The sequence below is a fragment of the Homo sapiens genome, chromosome 11 (assembly GCF_000001405.40).
Source record: "Homo sapiens chromosome 11, GRCh38.p14 Primary Assembly".
NCBI classification, from domain to species: domain Eukaryota; kingdom Metazoa; phylum Chordata; class Mammalia; order Primates; family Hominidae; genus Homo; species Homo sapiens.
Window position 1 is genome coordinate 100,657,670 of NC_000011.10, and position 13,238 is coordinate 100,670,907.

At 37.9% G+C, this 13,238-nt stretch overlaps 1 pseudogene, besides 3 other annotated features; it reads left to right on the top strand.

The window, feature by feature from the left end:
- Positions 5,684–6,613: an enhancer, noted in NCBI's record as "OCT4-NANOG hESC enhancer chr11:100534084-100535013 (GRCh37/hg19 assembly coordinates)". NCBI's record gives its function as "activates a minimal SCP1, AML or CMV promoter by ChIP-STARR-seq in naive and primed H9 embryonic stem cells {active_cell/tissue: H9 hESC(naive and primed)}" and the evidence as "EXISTENCE:reporter gene assay evidence [ECO:0000049][PMID:30033119]".
- On the top strand, positions 8,757–9,490 carry PPIAP43 (peptidylprolyl isomerase A pseudogene 43; annotated as a pseudogene).
- Positions 12,041–12,542: an enhancer, noted in NCBI's record as "H3K27ac hESC enhancer chr11:100540441-100540942 (GRCh37/hg19 assembly coordinates)". NCBI's record gives its function as "activates a minimal SCP1, AML or CMV promoter by ChIP-STARR-seq in naive H9 embryonic stem cells {active_cell/tissue: H9 hESC(naive)}" and the evidence as "EXISTENCE:reporter gene assay evidence [ECO:0000049][PMID:30033119]".
- Positions 12,543–13,042: an enhancer, noted in NCBI's record as "H3K27ac hESC enhancer chr11:100540943-100541442 (GRCh37/hg19 assembly coordinates)". NCBI's record gives its function as "activates a minimal SCP1, AML or CMV promoter by ChIP-STARR-seq in naive H9 embryonic stem cells {active_cell/tissue: H9 hESC(naive)}" and the evidence as "EXISTENCE:reporter gene assay evidence [ECO:0000049][PMID:30033119]".

Here is a 13,238-nt window from a genome sequence, read left to right on the forward strand (position 1 = left end):
AAAAAACAAACAACCCCATCAAAAAGTGGGCGAAGGACATGAACAGACACTTCTCAAAAGAAGACATTTATGCAGCCAAAAAACACATGAAAAAATGCTCACCATCACTGGCCATCAGAGAAATGCAAATCAAAACCACAACGAGATACCATCTCACACCAGTTAGAATGGCAATCATTAAAAAGTCAGGAAACAAGAGGTGCTGGAGAGCATGTGGAGAAATAGGAACACTTTTACACTGTTGGTGGGACTGTAAACTAGTTCAACCATTGTGGAAGTCAGTGTGGCGATTCCTCAGGGATCTAGAACTAGAAATACCATTTGACCCAGCCATCCCATTACTGGCTATATACCCAAAGGACTATAAATCATGCTGCTATAAAGACACATGCACACGTATGTTTATTGCAGCATTATTCACAATAGCAAAGACTTGGAACCAACCCAAATGTCCAACAATGATAGACTGGATTAAGAAAATGTGGCACATATACACCATGGAGTACTATGCAGCCATAAAAAATGATGAGTTCACGTCCTTTGTAGGGACATGGATGAAACTGGAAATCATCATTCTCAGTAAACTATCGCAAGAACAAAAAACCAAACACCACATATTCTCACTCATAGGTGGGAATTGAACAATGAGAACACATGGACACAGGAAGGGGAACGTCACACTCTGGGGACTGTTGTGGGGTGGGGGGAGGGGGGAGGGATAGCATTGGGAGATATACCTAATGCTAGATGACGAGTTAGTGGGTGCAGTGCACCAGCATGGCACATGTATACATATGTAACTAACCTGCACATTGTGCACATGTACCCTAAAACTTAAAGTATAATAATAATAATAAATAAATAAATAAATAAATAAATAAATAAAAAGAAAGCATATCCCATGCTCATGGATAGGTAGAATCAATATTGTGAAAATGATCATACTGCCAAAAGCAATCTACAAATTCATTGCAATTCCTATCAAAATACCACCATCATTCTTCACAGAACTAGAAAAAAAAATAGTAAAATTTACATGGAACCAAAAAAACCATAACGAGATTAAGCAAAAAGTACAAACCTGGAGGCATCACACTACCCAACTTCAAACTAGACTATTAATATAAGGCTATAGTCACCAAAACTGCATGGTACCGGTATATAAATAGACAGACTAATGGAACAGAATAGAGAACCCAGAAATAAAGCCAAATACTTACAGTCAAGTGATCTTCAAAAAATTAAACAAAAACCTATAGTGAAGAAAGGACATGCTGTTCAACAAATGGTGCTGGGATAAATGGCAAGCCACATGTAGAAGAATGAAACTGGATCCTCATCTCTCACCTTATACAAAAATCAACTCAAGATGGATCAAAGACTTAATCTAAGACCTGAAACTATAAAAATTCTAGAAGGTAACATCAGAAAAACCCTCCTAGAAATTGGCTTAGGCAAAGAGTTCATGACCAAGAGCCCAAAAGAAAATGCAACAAGAACAAAGATGAATAGATGAGACTTAATTAAACTAAAAAGCTTCTGCAGAGTGAAAGAAATAATCAGCAGAGTAAACAGACAACCACAGAGAGGGAGAAAATCTTTGCAAACCATACATCCAACAAAGGAGTAATATCCAGAATCTGCAAGGAACTCAAACAAACCAGCAAGAAAAAAACAAATAATCCCATCAAAAAGTGGGCAAATGACATGAATAGCAAATTCTCAAAAGAAGATATACAAATGGCCAACACACATATGAAAAAATGCTCAACATCACTAATTATCAGGGAAATGCAAATCAAAACCTCAATACAATAATAACACTTTACTCCTGTAAGAATGACTGTAATTTAAAAATCAAAAACCAGTAGATGTTGGTATGGATATGGTGAAAAGGGGACACTATTATACTGCTAGTGAGAATGTAAACTAGTATACCCACTATGGAAAACAGTGTAGAGAGTCCTTAAAGAACAAAAAGTAGAACTATCATTTAATCCAGCAATCCCACAACAGAATATCTACCCAGAGGACAAGAAATTATTATATGAAAAGGACACTTGCACATGCATGTTTATAGCAGCACAATTCACAATTGCAAAAATATGGAATCAGCCCAAATGCCCATCAATCAACAAGCGGATAAAGAAAATGTGGTATGTATATATACCATGAAATACTACTCAGCCATAAAAAGGAACAAAATAATGGCATTCACAGCAACCTGGATGGAGTTGGAGACCATTATTCTAAGTGAAGTAATTCAGGAATGGAAAACCAAACATCATATGTTCTCACTTATAAGTGGGACCTAAGCTATGAGGATGCAAAGGCATAAGAATGATACAATGCACTTTGGGGCCTTGAGGGGAAGGTTGGGAGGGGTGTGAAGGATAAAAGACTACACACTGGGTACAGTGTACACTGCTCAGGTGATGGGTGCACCAAAATCTCAGAAATTACACCAAAAGTACTTATCTATACAACAAAACACCACTTATTCCCCAAGAACCTATTGAAATTTTAAAAATTAAAAATTTAAATAAATAAAGTTCAGTGTGATGAGAAGTAAATAAATACATAAATAAATAATTCAGTGTCATGAAATCCTAAGAAAGACTCAAGAAGTATTCCAGAATAAAGGAGACTAAAGAGAAATGACGACTGAATACAATGCATGATATTGGATTTTCTTTTTACAAAGGACTTTGTTAAGGCCTTAGAGGAAATTTGAATAAGGCATGTAGATTAGATAAGCATATTGTATCAATGGTGATTTCCTGATTTTGATAATATACTACTTTTATGTGAAAGAATTTCTGTAATTTTAGGAAAAAATGACTAAAGTATTTAGGAGTAAACAGGCATCCAATTTACAACTTACCCTTAAAGATTATACACGCACACACAAAACTCGTGTGTGTGTGTGTGTGTGTGTGTGTGTACAGGGAAAGAGATAGAGCAAATAAATTGTTAACATTTGGGGAATATGAGTAATGGGTATCCAGAAAGTTTTTTGTAGTATTTTTTTCTTTTCTTTCTTTCTTTTTTTTTTTTTCTTTGAGACCGAGTATCACTCTTGTAGCCCAGGCTGGAGTGCAATGGCACTGTCTCTGCTCACCACAACCTCCAACTCCCGGGTTCAAGTGATTCTCCTGCCTCAGCCTCCCAAGTAGCTGGAATTACAGGCATGTGCCACCATGCCCAGCTAGTTTTGTACTTTTTTTTTTTTAGTAGAGATGAGGTTTCTCTGTGTTGGTCAAGCTGGTCTCGAACTCTTGACCTCAGGTGATCTGCCCACCCTGGCCTCCCAAAGTGGTGGGATTATAGGCATGAGCCACTGCCCCTGGCCTTTTTTTTTTCTTTCTTTTTTTTTTTTTTTGAGACGGAGTCTCGCTCTGTTGCCCAGGCTGGAGTGTAGTGGTGTGATCTCGGCTCACTGCAACCTCCACCTCCCAGGTTCAAGCAATTCTCCTGCCTCAGCCTCCTGAGTAGCAGGGACTACAGGTGCCAGCCACCACACCCGGCTAATTTTTGCATTTTCAGTAGAGACAGGGTTTCTCCATATTGGCCAAGCTGGTCTTGAACTCCTGACCAGTGATCCACCTGCTTTGGCCTCCCAAAGTGCTGGGATGACAGGCGTGTGCCACTGCGCCTGGCCTTTTTTTTTTTTTTTTGAGACAAGAGTTTCACTCTTGTTGCCTAGGCTGGAGTGCAATGGCGCCATCTCGGTTCACTGCAACCTCCACCTCCTGGCTTTAAGTGATTATCCTGCCTCAGCCTCCCAAGCAGTTGGGATTACAGGCATGCGCCACCATGCCCGACTGATTTTGTATTTTAAGTAGAGATAGGATTTCACCATGATGGTCAGGCTGGTCTCAAACTCCTGACCTAAGGTGATCTGCCCACCTCGGCCTCCTAAAGTGCTGGGATTACAGGCATGAGCCACCGCACCCGGCCTGTAGTATTCTTACAAATTTTCTGTTAGCCTGAAATTATTTCAAAAGTTAAAAATTAAAAAGGTGATTATTAATTTTTTGGCTTGTCCAACCAGATTTTAATTACTGAAGTGAGGAATATTCTGAGAAGGGTTTCCCACTCTATCCCTGCCCCTCAAGTTCTGGTGCTGGGGCTTTCCATTTCAATATTCACTACTGGTTTCATGTGTTTGAGGACCCTGGACTTCTATAAAGTGGGAAGAAGAAACAGCCAATGTGATTTCTCCTGACAAATACATAGGACTTACTTAAATGTAGATGCTGGTCCACAGGATTTGACTGGCTTCTGTGCTTTGATTTGGCTTCCCAGTGGCTTACTGTTGCTGTTCACCAATGTGTTAGGCAATGTCCTTATCTAGAACGCTTCATCTGATACTCCACCACACACCCAATCATTATGTATATTAAATTAGATCTATTGCCCTGACCACATCTGAAATCACACTCTGTTCCCTACCTCTGCTCTACTCTCAACCTAGGCATCCTCTTCTACTTCTACAGGGGCTTGAACTTCAAGTGGTATTTTTGGTCTCTAATCTTTGTCCAGTTCTATTACATAAAACCTTTGCCCTGCTCTCTCTAATTCATACCTTTATTCTTGATTTTTCAAACACCTATCTGGGGAATCAGAGAATTATGGGCTGCAGATAAAATTTTGAGTAGTGCCGGCTTTATAGTTGATAATTCAAGCTTTTGTTTTGTATGAATTTGTCTAGGAAAAATTGTAGTGAGAAGACTAGAGAGACATGAGGATCTCCCAGTATTTAACAGGTAAAATATTCACTTATTAAATTATAGGCATTGTATATATTTTTATATTATAATTGCAATGAAAAATTAAAAACAAAGATACCGTAGTCCCTCCTTATCCACGGGCATTATGTTCCAAGATCCCCAGTGGATGCCTGAAACCACAGATAGAACCAAATTTTATCTACACTAAGCTTTTACCTATACTTACATTCGATAAAGTTTAATTTCTAAGTTAGGCACAGTATGAGATTAACGAAAATAACTAATAATAAAATAGAACAATTAGAACAATATACTGTAATTAACGTTGTGAATGCGGTCTCTCTGTCTTTCTCTCTCTCAAAATATCTTAATGTTTTCAGACCATAGTTGACCATGAGTAACTGAAACTGTGGAAAGTGAAACCATGGATAAGAGGGTCTACTATAATAACAGTGCTATGTGTAACTTCCAAAGTATGGTAGAAAACTAAACAATATGGACGAGGGAGTAGAGCTTATAGTTAAATGGAAAGAACATTGAGCCAGGAGTCAGGATTTGGTACCTCAGTTCTAGTCTTGTCTCAGCCACTATCCTGGTTACTAAAGATCAGTCAGCCTCTCTGGTTCTCAGATGAAGAGGTCATAAGCTACCTGGCTCCTGAAGTTTCTTCCAGCCATCTCTAAATGTCTATGTCTATCTCTTAAAAGTTTACTTAGTGAGACAATTTTTCATGGTCTTCTTTAGGATATTTGTAGTGTCTTTCAACCTAGAGATTCTATGATTTCATGAATTATTTTCAGATTAACTGAAAATTATTTTCACCCTGAGGAAAAAGAATTGATCAAACATGAGCTATAGCAATCAGTTAAACTGACTTAGTGACTTATCCTCATTATTGCAGAGTTCACAGTTGCTGTAAATCTCATTAAATCACAGCAAAGTACACTTATGTTGACATAGTGGTAAAATGAATAGTCATTAATTGGAGGAGAGGAGATAACTTCATTTTTTCTTATCATAAAAGTAAAAAATTCTTATTGGAAAAGAAATTAGAAATGCAGAATATTATAAAGAAGAAACTAAAGATCACCCACAATTCAGTTGCCGGAAATAACTTCTCACAACATTATTAAACATTACTTTTTAAATACTATCCTAAAGCAATAGTTAGTTATATATATATTATATATGTTTACAATGGCATTATCATAATGAAAAATTGAGAATTACTCCATCCATAGAGGACCGATTAAATAAATCATTAGCCATCTATACAGAGTACTATTACATTAGAAAGTGTGAGCTGTTTGCTTGAGTTAGCACTTGATCACAATCAACTACAGGGCTTAACTCAATTGTGATGCATCTTGGCACTGCATGCTGTGGATTACTAGTACTCCCCTTCTAATCAGCATACATTTAGTGCTTCATTCAAGGCCAAGGACATGACTAAACCAATCCCAATAGTTCATCATTGTGGTGTATTTTTAGCAAGGGATCACTTTTAGTACTAAGTAGAGAATCATTTTGGGTTGAAGCAGGAAAACAAAAACCACAGTAGGTATTTCAACAGACAAATTTTATTAAAAGGAACTGATCAAATAGTATTGGCAAATTGAAAAATGAGGACACTGAAGTAACACATAGCTTTGTCTAAGCCCATTGAACAGAATATCTTGAAAAATGGGAAGAGGATACTAAAATAACACATAGCTTGCACCTGCGTGAAGCCCTACCACCTCAGTGATAAAAGAACCACAAAGATAAAAGGTTAGAGTAGCACCTGAAACTTGGAGAGGCCCTCCAGAGCTGGGACGATCTCTGAAGAAGGATGGTGACGGTGCCTCGGCAGCTCAAAGGAGGAGCCTGTGAAGTGGGGACATTAATGTTTCTTATTTTATAAGGTTCTTATGTAGATTAAATGAGATTATGCATGTGAAGCTCTAACTGTAATTATTGGTGGGAAGTAATGTAGGCCAGTAGTTAAGTGCAGAAACCATAAATCGGGCTGCCTGGGTTGAAATCTTATTTCTGAGAAGACCAGCACGTCATAGCAATTCCCTTTACTTTCTTGTTATCATAGTGACTATACATTGATTGCAATTCACTAAATCTTACTAGAATAGCAAACTGGACTATTTGTGATTAGATAGATACAAACTCTGACATGTTAGTAGTATAATTTTTCCCATATCACAGCTTAGAAAACTGAGGTATAGGTATTTTTAAGGCTACATAGCTCATAAGTGGTAGAACCTCTATTGAATCAGAATTTTCCATAATATTTATCACCTTATTTCTTAGTTCATTTGTGCTATTATAACAAAATGCCACAGACTGGGTAATGTATAATGAACATAAATTTATTGGCTCACAGTTCTGGAGGCTGGGAACTCTAATATCAAGGTGCCAGCAGGTTTGGCAATTCTGATTCCAAGATGGTGCCTTAAATGATGCCTCCTCTGGAGGGGAGGAACACTTTGTCTTCACATGGCAGAAGGCAGAATGAAGAGACAAAAGGGGGCCCAATTTACCCTTTTATAAAGTCATAAATCCCACCCATGAGGGCAGAGTCCTCATGGCCTAATCAACCTCTTAAAGGGGTCACCTCTTAATACTGTTACAATGGCAGTTAAATTTCAACATGAGTTTTGGAAGGGACAAACATTCAAACCACAGCACCATCTAATACATTATGTATTTTTACTTATTTATCTCCCTCTACCCACTGGATTATAAGCTTCATGAGAACAAGTTATTCATTCATTCCTTCTTTCATTTATTTATGTATTTACTGCTATATTTCAAGCCCTTTGAACAGAGACTGGCACATAATAAGCATTAAATAAATATTTGTTGATTGAATATGAACCAAGTAGGGACCCAGAGAAAGAACTATACATATTATCTCACTTTATAATGGCTACAATGTTGAGATAGTAGAGTATGTATTATTTTGCCTCAATTTTATAGAAAAAAACTTCATATTAACAAAGTGAAATAAATGGTTTAAATCACAGATGTAGAAGAGCCTAGACCTCAGGATTACCAGCCCATAGATTTTTCCCATTATAAAACAGTCTATTCTTAAAATTTGAGGTAAAAGTCAAAAAAGATAATCAGAGAAAAGTGTGAAAAATAGGTAATAGGCTCATAATAAAATCTTTATGAAGTCAGTGCATCCCCGACCGCTGTGGAGAATGCTGTAGTGGAATAATGAGCTATTTCACTATTATCGTTTTCAGCAGACTGTCAGCATAGCTTTCTCTCTCATCTCAATATTTCTAAGAATGTAGTTTCAACCCTAAGTCAAAATTACTTAGTAAAATTTCTGGGTTTTTTTGTATCCAGAAATCATTACTAACTTTATTTGAAAACCACACACACACAAAAAGATTCAAAATGTGTCTACTTTAGGTTTCCCAAATAGCAGCTTGAGTTATAATCACTAATTAAATATTTAAAGACTTCAAAGCAGCATTTAGAGAAATAAGTGGGTAAATGTAACATGGCCATTGTACTTGAACCTCACAGCGTTTTGTAAATCTTCAATTAATTAGTGTTTATAAGCTACCATGAGATCATTGGATAAACAATAGATAATAATAATTAAGTGTTATTATTACATGAAATGCATTATTACATTTAAGTGCTCATGAAAATTGCTAAAATTAAAGAGTGCCGAATGGCAAAGCCCATACAAATAATTTAAAGTGTGTATCATTCCTTTAGTCTGAGCCCTGAGAGATGTTTGAAATTGGTTAACCGCCATGAAAAGTTGAAATGTTTTTATGGATGAGGAAACAGAAGTACAAAGAGATAAAGAGCACACACAGCTAGAAACAAAGCATGGTTTTCCTTGATCCCAACCTGGCACAAAGATACAGAATCATAATTGAGGCAAGACCCACTTACCAAACAAAACAATAAAGAAACAAGTTGTAAGCTCTAGTTGATAGCAATCAGCATAAACTTGCTTTGCAAAAACTAGCAGGTCTTTGTTTTTAAAATAACTGCTTTGGCTTTGCAGATGCCGCTGCTGGGAGCCCTGTACTATCAGTCATGGTCAACCCCACTGTGTTCTTCGACATCGCCTTTGACGGCTAGCCCTTGGGGTGCATCTCCTTCAAGCTGTTTGCAGACAAGTTTCCAAAGACAGAAGAAAACTTTCATGCTCCGAGCACTGGAGAGAAAAGATTTGGTTATAAGGCTTCCTGCTTTCACAGAAATATTCCAGGGTTTATGTGTCAGGGTAGTGACTTCACACGCCATAATGGCACTGGTGGCAAGTCCATCTACGGGGAGAAATTTGAAGATGAGAACTTCATCCTAAAGCATACAGGTCCTGGCGTCTTGCCCATGGCAAATGCTGGACCCAACACAAATGGTTCCCAGTTTTTCATCTGCACTGCCAAGACTGAGTGGTTGGATGGCAAGCATGTGGTCTTTGGCAAGGTGAAAGAAGGCGTGAATATTGTGGAGGCCATGGAGCACTTTGGGTCCAGGAATGGCAAGACCAGCAAGAAGATCATCAGCATTGCTGACTGTGGACAACTCTAATAAGTTTGACTTGTGTTTTATCTTAACCACCAGACCATTTCTTCTGTATCTCAGGAGAGCACTCCTCCACCCCGTTTGCTCACAGTATCCTATCATCTTTGTGCTCTCGCTGCAGTTCCCTTTGGGTTCCATGTTTTCCTTGTTCCCTTCCATGCCTAGCTGGATTGGAGAGTTAAGTTTATGATTATGAAATCAAAACTAAATAAAAATTAAAAAAATAAAATAAAATAACTGCTTCTATTGATCAAGGAGTCAGAGTCACCGCGAGTTTTCACCTAAGTTTCCGTCTATGCTGGAAATCAGTGCCAACATCAATATGTTCAATTACAAGCTATAAGCTTGAAAGATGTTTCAATTTTATAAAATTAAATGTAATCTTCTTAGTGTAGCTTTAAGTTAGTTTATAGAGTGAATAGGGATGGTATGGCTGCCACACAACTTACCAGTTCTTCAACTTTCTTCTTCAGTAAGTTCTTCTTCCTGTACCCCTGGGAAAATAGAGAAGTTCCTTTATTTTCAGACGAGTGAAACACCAAGAAGGCTGTAGAGTGTTTTTTCTAGTCATTTGGACAAGTGAGTATAAATGAGTAGAGGTCAGGGATCTTCCTTGCATAACTATGAAAATCAGTGTGTCGAAAATTTATAAATAGAGGTGAGGCATTGAGCAACAGGTGAGCGTATTTGTTAGGATCTTTCTGGCAATGCTTTTCCCTTTGGCCTTTTCCAGGAGCACGGTTCTTTTGTATTTGTCACACAGGACCTGGGTGCCTGACTAAATAGCATGGCTTTAGACAGCAAATAACTCTTTAGCCATAGCAGAATGCAAGCGTGAGTTGATAAACTTTTTTTTTTTAACTCTGCCACTGTTCGTTTTTCTCCCTTCTGACCTTGAAAACAAAAATTGATCTGACTTCTACAAGAAGATTTTGTTTAGAGTACCATAAGCTACTAAACAGTAAGATATTTCAGAAATACTTTAGAAAGACTGATGAACAAAGGATAAATTAATCAAGATTAGTATAAAATGTCCACTCCTTATTTAAAGTAAAGTTATATTTGGCCAGGCACGGTGGCTCACACGTGTAATTCCAGCACCTTGGGAGGCCAAGGCAGGTGGATCACTTGAGGTCAGGAGCTTGAAACCAGCCTGGCCAACACGGTGAAACTGTCTCTACTAAAAATACAAAAATTAGCCAGGCGTGATGGTGCACACCTGTAATCCCAGCTACTCAGAAGGCTGAGGCGGGAGAATTGTTTGAACCCGGGAGGCAGAGGTTGCAGTGAGCCAAGATTGCAGCATTGCACTCCAACCTGGGCGACAGAGTGAGACTCCATCTCAAAATAAATAAATAAAGAAATAAATAAATAATAATAATAAAATTAAGTTATATTCATGGAAAGTTGAAAAACATTTGAAGGCATTTAAATCAACACATCTACTATTTATTGTCAAACATGAAGTTATAGCCATAGTCAAATCTCTATAGACAACATAGGGTCAGTGTATATTTTCCAACCAATTTTGAAAATAGTGTTTATTTGTTTTAAACATCTATGGCATTTTTAATTCTCACATCTCCATCTTCCTTAACACCAGAAATATTGTCCCATCTTCACAATAAAAAGTCACAAGACTATTTTAAGTACTAGGCTATCTTTCTGAAAAGCTTCTTAATTATGTGGTTAAAATGCTTTTATTGCTTACAGAGTAGTTCTAAGTTATGGTCTTTCCTCGCTCCCCGCCCAATCAGACTTCAAGATACATGATATATAAATTTATTTCCCTAAAACTATGTGCTTACATTTTCTCTTGGTTTGTTTATTTAATAAAGTTTTCCATAAAATCTAACTCATTTTTCTTTACAATCAGCATTGTAAGCCCACTCCAGAGATTGCATTTTTTTTCAGTCTAATCTAAAACTGGTGTTCTTGTCTGTCATTTTCTTCACAAAACTTCTGTCAATGACTTCTGTTTTTATTTTTAACTTTCTACTAAATGTCTTGAGATGATACCTTGATGCATCTGAAGTTTATTGGGAAATATAGGAAGAAAAGTTAATGATAAAATTATGCAATAGTCAGTGCGTTAAATTTGAATAGCTAAATATTTGTTGATAAATAGGCTTTGGGGATTCCAGGAGTTGGGGAAGAACTATCCATCGGATTCCTTCTTGTCCCTAGGAGCAGACAATACAAATTAGGTATGCACATGTACTTTTTTGCCCAGACACTCTCTGACCTCTATTACTGCCTTAGTTCTCTTAGACTCCAGTTGCCTCTGACAGCAGCCTGCTTTGAAACCACTTTTTAACAAAAAAGCTTCTTAGTTTACCTAATTCTACCCCTGTGTCATTTTAACCAAATTTTCTCTGCCACCCCACTGCAGCATCTCGGAGGAATACTTAAGGGAAAGTTAGATCATCACAGTTTGGTATTTTATTTTCATAAGTCGGAGTCTTACTATTTTGCCCAGGCTACTCTTGAACTATTGGGCTCAATTGATCCTCCTGCCTCAGCCTCCCAAGTACCTGGAAATAGGGGCATGAGCACTGTGCCAAGCTCAATAGTAATATTGATGCTTCTTTCTCGCAGTGCTGTACTATATTTAAAATAACTTCTTGTTGTTTGTAACCACTTGCAAAATATTCCTGATTTCTTCCCAGGTCGTAAAGTGCATCAAATTACTATTACTTTGAAATGGTAACTTTATGGGCCTATCTACATGCCCCTTCCATAGAGAAGGAAGAATTCTTCATTATATTTTATTTTTATTTTTTTAGACGGAGTCTTGCTCTGTCACCTGGGCTGGAGTGCAGCAGTACAATCTGGGCTCACTGCAACTTCCTTCTCCTGGGTTCAAGCTATCCTGCCTCAGCCTCTCTAGTAGCTGGGATTACAGGCGCGTGCCAACATGCCCGGCTAATTTTTGTATTTTTAGTAGAGATGGGGTTTCACTATGTTGTCTAGGATCGTATCAAACTCCTGATCTCAGGTGATCCACCCACCTCAGCCTCCCAAAGTGCTGGGATTACAGGCGTGAGCCACCCACGCAGCCAAGAAGGAAGAATTTTTGTAAGTGGTTAACGTGTTCTATCTGAAGATCAGCAAAAGGAATAAACTACATTAGCAGATTTAGTTTAGCTATTTGCTAGCAATGTGAATTTTGGCAAATCAATCTCTCTAAGTCTCTAAAATAGGAAAAGCAATACCACTCCTAGTGTTTTGAAACACAGTCACCATCTATTGCTGTCAAATTCCCAGCATTCTTTTTCCCTCTGGGAGCAGCGCCTTCCTACCTCCTGTAGTTCTGATACAATGGTTATTTCTGAGAGCCCCACCAATCTCCTGCCCACAGGGTTTAGCAAGTGACACCGACATAGCCAATCAGAATACTGCAACCCTCTCTTTGTATTATAATTGGTCCCAGATATGGGCACATGACCCACAAAGGGCCAATTGAAGTCCCTCTTTGAGTTTTGCTATATGAACACACAGAATCTGTCCTCTAGGACAGCAAGCACTGAGAAATATGTGAAGCCAAAGCCAGATGGCTTTGGATTTTATTCTCAGGCCAATTATCAGAGAGAAAATCTGAGGTGAGAGTTTGGGACAGAGTTAGAGATGCCCCTGAAGTTTTAAATTAAGCCTTTAACACCCCCCCCACACACACACCCCCGAAGGATTCCCTCCCCTTCAATGCTTACACTAGTTCAAGTTGGTTTGTGCTTCTTGCAACTGAAAGGACTCTGAGTAATAGAGAGGGTTAAACGAGACAAAGTACGTGAAGTATAAAGATATGTACAAACATAAGGTGTAACTATCACTCTCAGGGAATGCCATGCCACACCCCTAAATTTATTATGAATAAAAATTGGTATCAGAGAAATAGAGTCAGGACTATATGGTGTGGAATCACTTGACAAATATGACTATAGTGTACTAATG